Below are 6235 nucleotides of genomic sequence, written 5' to 3'. Positions count from 1 at the left end.
TTTCTTTTTTCTTTTTTTTGTTTTTTTGAGACAGAGTCTCACTCTGTCACCAGGCTGGAGTGCAGTGGCACGATCTCGGCTAGCTGCAGCCTCCGCCTCCTGGGTTCAAGTGATTCTCCTGCTTTAGCCTCCCAAGTAGCTGGGATTACGGGTGCACACCACTATGCCCAGCTAATTTTTATATTTTTTAGTAGAGACGGGGTTTTACCATATTGGCCAGGATGGTCTCGATCTCTTGACCTCGTGATCCGCCCACCTCGGCCTCCCAAAGTGCTGGGATTACAGGCGTGAGCCACTGCGCCCAGCCAAATTAAGTGTTTTTAAGTAGGTTAAAAACATACTCCATTGTGGCTTTTGTCACCAAAACAACTACAAAACCCATAGTTAGTGATGTTGGCCTCTTAGGGTTAAAATATATTAGGAATCCAGGGACTTATAATACATGGATCTGTTAGGTTGTTGCAAAAATAATTGTGTTTTTTGCCATTACTTTTAATGGCATAAACCACAACTCCTTTTGCAACAACCTAATGAATAAATATTTATGTATATGTAGACACCTGTAACCTGTATATTAATTGAGACGTAACTTGTAATCATCAACACTGGCACATTAAATTAATTAGTGAATATGAAATAAATATATGTACATATGAATACAGTCTATTGTATTATCATGCATATCTGAGGACAACACATAATTTCACAATTCAGCCACTTCTTCAGCAGGCAAAGGTAAAAAAACCATATTTGCATTAGCAACAAAACCTAAAGCTTTAGTTGATAAAAGAATGAAAAGTAAAACACGTACTGAGAGAGATAAACCTGCTTCTTTATCGTATCCTTTAGTGGCTTAGGAAAGGTTTCTGTGAGAAGAAAAGATTGTGGGAAGTTGGCTGCACATTGCAAAGGATGATTTATGAAAGTTCGATTATAGAGTGACCTCATCTATGGTATTTGCTAAGAACCAAATGTGAGCATCTGGTAGAGTAGAACAAAAAGCACTTCTAAATGAATATTGAGTTTCAAAACAAATAGCAATATCACAGGAGGCTGCCAATACAAGCGTCCTGAAAGGGCATTATAATTAAATATATCTAAACAGAATTCTAAATACAACATACAAGGTCATTCCAATAAGAAGGTAACCCAGGCATTGAAAAAGAATGACAGGGATACTAAGAATGTAGGTGTCTGGAACTGCATTGCATATGAAGGTTCATGTAGAGGCTAAAAAATTAAGCATCAGAAGAAAAGATGGAATTCATCTCCCATTCTAATTTTATTGTCACGACAGCAGTTGTGTTGCCACTCAAAGGCTCAGAGACCTGCCCTCGCTTCTGCATTGTTGATACCTGCAAGCAATGGTGTATAATCAGAACTAACATTTTACAAGTCTCCAAAGTTTCTGTCAAAGAGAAACAATGGATGGTTTATTGATTGGCAGGTTGGGAGGGGTAGACCCAGAAAAAAGACACAAGAGCTGAAATTTTCCCTGAGAAATGTCCATCCTCCGCCTTAATTTGTCCTTTGCCAAACAGCAAATAGCTCATGATGTTGTGAGAATACAGGCATGAATCAAGATGCAGGACTTTGGCCACGTGCAGTGGCTCACGCCTGTAATCCCAACACTTTGGGAGGCCAAGGCAGGCGGATCACAAGGTCAGGAGATTGAGACCACCTTGACTAACATAGTGAAACCCTGTCTCTACTAAAAATACAGAAAATCAGCTGGGTGTGGTGGTGGGTGCCTGTACTCCCAGCTACTCAGGAGGCTGAGGCAGGAGAATGGCGTGAACCCGGGAGGCAGAGATTGCAGTGAGCTGAGATCACGCCACTGCACTCCAGCCTGGGCAACAGAACGAGACTCTGTCTCAAGAAAAAAAAAAAAAAAAAAAGATGCAGGACTTAAATTCCAATTCCATTTATGCAATCAATTTCCTCCATGACATGCACAAATCATTTCCTCTGCAGCTCCACCTAACTGTCTATAAAATGAAGATAATGTGCATATTTTCACACTTTGGATTGTAACCAACAGATGCTTCAACAGATTCTTTTAGGTGAACAAACCTGATACAAACATGGACATAGACTTTAGCAGTGCTTACCTATATTTTTAGTGAAGCTAATTCAATAGACACATTTGGGTTTAATGTCCTAGAAACTCATATGCACGAAATGCAACATAATTTTTTGACCTTCATTCATTTTTCACACACTGCTTCAGCTCCCTTAAAAAGCAGTTTTCGGCCAGGCTCCATGGCTCATGTCTGTAATCCCAGCACTTTGGGAGACTGAGGCAGGTGGATCACAAGGTCAAGAGATTGACACCATCCTGGCCAACATGGTGAAACCCCGTCTCTACTAAAAATACAAAAATTAGCTGGGCGTGGTGGCTTGTGCCTCTAGTCCCAGCTACTTGGGAGGCTGATGCAAGAGAATTGCTTAAACCCAGGAGGCGGAGGTTGCAGTGAGCTGAGATCATGCCACTGCACTCTAGCCTGGCAACAGAGAGAGACTCCGTCTTAAAAAAAAAAAAAAAAAGTAGTTTTCAAAATAATTAAATCATGTAATTGTTTGTATCAGATAAATGCTATAATAATAAAATTTACTGAGTACTTACCATGTGCCAAGCACAGTTTTAGGCATTTTACACATATTACTCATTAATCTGCAAAATAACCCTATGGTTAATACTAATTTTATACTCTTTTGATATTTAGACAAACCTGTCAAAAGCAGATAAACAAATTGCCCTAGAAGTATTGGTTTTCTATTGTCATGGAACAAATTAGCATAAGTTTAACAGCATAACATAGTATTCATTTATTAACTTATAGTTTCTGTGGGTCAGAACTCCAGGCATATCTTAACTGGCCCTTTGCTCAGAGTCTTACAAGACTGTAATCAAGTTGTTAGTTGAGCTGTATTCTCATCTGTAGGCTCAACTGGGGAAGAATCTGTTTCTATGCTCCTTTAGGTTGCTAGCAGAAATCGTATCTTGGCAGCTATATGGTGAAGGACCCTGTTTTTTGCTGGCTATTGGCTGGAGGTCACCCTCGGGTCCTATAGGCTGCCAGCAGTTCCATGTGGGCTTCTCCAACACAAAGCCATTTATTTCATTTATTCCATCAAGCCTAAAAGGAGAGTCTCTCACCTCAAGGAAGGTCCAGTCCCTCTTTTAAAGGCTATTCACCTGATAAAGTCAGGCCTGCACAGAGTACTCTCCCTTTAACTCAGAACCAATTAATGTGGGGGGTTAATTACATCTGCAAAACGTTTTCACCTTTGCCCTCTTCCATTGGGTAGAAGCAAGTCACAAGCCCCATCCATACCCAAAGGGATGGGGTACACAGAGGCATGAACAATAGGAGGTGGGAATTACTGGAGGTCACCCAGGGTGTTTCTGTGACACTAGGTTAGTGCTCCTCAAACTTTAATGTACCTACAAATTATCCAAAGATTTTGTTAAATGCAGATTCTGATACAGTAGGTCAGGGATGTGATCTGAGAATCTACATTTCCAACAAGCTCCTACACAATGCTAATGCTACTGGCTGGTCTGGGAACCACCAAAACCCCATAAAGTTGGGACTGGAACCAGTAGTTTCAGCTCCAGGTCAGATACTCTTAACCACTTCCCCTATACTTGTCAACTCTCCCTGGACTTTATCTAAGGTCGTTATCAATAAGGGATATAGTTTTATTTTTGTTCCACGTTTATCCTAAGGTAGTCAATGTAGTTGACATCTAATTGTCTCTTTTCACATTTATGGGTTTTTTTTTTTTTTTTTTTTTGACAGAGTCTAGCTCTGTTACCCAGGCTGGAGTGCAGTGGTGCTATCTTGGCTCACTGCAAGCTCCACCTCCTGGGTTCGCGCCATTCTCCTGCCTCAGCCTCCTGAGTAGCTGGGACTACAAGCACCCTCCACCACGCCCGGCTAATTTTTTGTATTTTTAGTAGAGATGGGGTTTCACTGTGTTAGCCAGGATGGTCTCGATCTCCTGACCTTGTGATCCACCCGCCTCGGCCTCCCAAAGTGCTGGGATTACAGGTGTGAACCACTGCACCTGGCCTATGGGGTTTTACAGAACAAGCTTTGCCACAGGAAACGTGGCCTTTGAATCAAAGCTCAGGCATTCTCCAGCTGGCCCAGATGTCTTCTATCCCTTTCCTCAGGCAAGTGACCATCTGCTCTGGGCTAGGTAACACTCCGAAGGGGGAAGATTTGCCTGTTCTAGAGGCCCCATGTTTTACTTGCTGAGGAGTATTGGACAAGTGTCTAGGCCATCACCACCTTTCACTAGAACAAAGAAGTTTCTTCTTCTTTTCAAATTTATTTTTCATTATATATATTTGAGATGTGTGTACAACATGATGTTTTGACATACATATAAATGGTAAAATGATTACTACAGTCAAACAAATTTACAGATTCATCAAAAGAAGTTTCTTCTTGTTTTATAAATTGGGTCTCCTAGAGACTTTTCGTTTGACCTAAGTGTTTTTACCAGAAAAACATTTCCTTTTTTTTAGAAAATAAAAGAAGCGAAGATTTTAAACACTAGTTGGCTTTTGAAGAGAATAAATATTTACTTTGAAGAAAAGACTTATGAGGACTTAAAACATCTTACTTAACTAGCTACAAATAGCTCCTCCCTGGACTTTATGTAGGGAGTAGGAATCATTCTCACCAAAAGAGTAAGGAAATGTTGAATCAAAGTTTCCTTTTCAGTAATCTTTCCCAGACAGGAAGCTGTTATCTGTCTTCCTTTAAAAGTGCTGCTTATACCCTTGCAACTTAAATTTAGCTCTGAGGCAGCCTCTCCTTTCTCCCTGTGGGGTACAAATGGTGGTAAATGGCAGACAGATGTTAAACAAAGATACCTTCCCACACAGCTTCCTTTGATTCTTTAAGTAAACTCCAATCTCTATTTTTTAAGAAAATTGCAAGATAAGCCTGTCAGAGGCCTCTGAAATTAACATAATTCAGACCTCCTGCCAGTGTCCTAAATCCTAAAATAGTGAATTTCCAATTGTCTGCTAGCAAGCTGCAAGGCTTTCAAAGCAAAGCCAGGATTCCAAGATTGGAGTAAACCCCCAATGCTAACCTTAGCATTGGGAACTTGAAGGCAGAGGAACCAAGATAAATGCCTCCTTGTATAACTTGTATAACCATACATTGAAAAGCTGGAGTCCTCCTGGTCTCTACTGTTAGAGATTGCTAACCACAACAAAATAATATCTTCACATATTTATTGAGCTGCCCTAGGAACTTTACCTTCCATGCCTCATTTAATCTTTACAACAATCCTGTCAAATGCTCATTTACAGCTTCCATTTCGATGGACAACTCAAGCAGAGAGAAGTTAAGTAACATGCCCAAGGTCACACAACTAGCAGCTAGGCAGAATTCAATCCAAAGTCAACATATAGTGCTTTTAAAGAAGACTAAATACACAAGATGCTAAAAGAAAGAGGACACTTGCTTTCTTCTGAAGTGCCTGAATGGTGTTCCCCTAAAAGACATGTCCATGTTCTAACTCCTGGATTCAATGAATGTGACTTCATTTGGAAAAAGGGTCATTTCAGATATAATTAATTGAAGGATCTCAGGATGAGAATATCCTGGACTATCTGGCTTGGCCCTAAATTCAATGACACGTGTGCCTGTAAGACAAAGGCAGAAAAAGATCTGACTTTGACAGAAAAGAAGACAGAGACACAGAGGAGATGACCACGTAAAGACAGAGGCAGGAATTGGAGTGATGCTGACACAAGCTAAAGAGGCCTGGAGCCACCAGGAGGTGGAAAAGAACAAGGAAGCCTTCTCCCCTAGAGCCATCAGAGGGAGCATGGCTGCGCTGACACCTTGATCTTCTTCTGGTTTCCAGAACCGTATGACAATAAATTTCTATTTTCAGCCACTGAATTTTTGGTAATTTGTTATTTGCAGCCTTAGCAAACTAATATAGTCATGCACCTCCTGTTTCCATCACTGACTGACCACATATAAGACCATGGTCTCATGAGATTAGAATGGATCCGAACATTTCCTGTCACCTAGTGATATCCTAACCATTGCAATATGTCTGGAGTTGGTTCCTTCTGGTGCGTTCTTGGTCTCGCTGACTTCAAGAATGAAGCCACAGACCTTCGTGGTGAGTGTTACAGCTCTTAAAGGTGGCACAGAACAAAAGAGTGAGCAACAGCAAGATTTATTGTGAAGAG

The sequence above is a fragment of the Homo sapiens genome, chromosome 8 (assembly GCF_000001405.40).
Source record: "Homo sapiens chromosome 8, GRCh38.p14 Primary Assembly".
NCBI classification, from domain to species: Eukaryota; Metazoa; Chordata; class Mammalia; order Primates; family Hominidae; genus Homo; species Homo sapiens.
Note: the sequence above shows the minus strand (reverse complement) of the source record.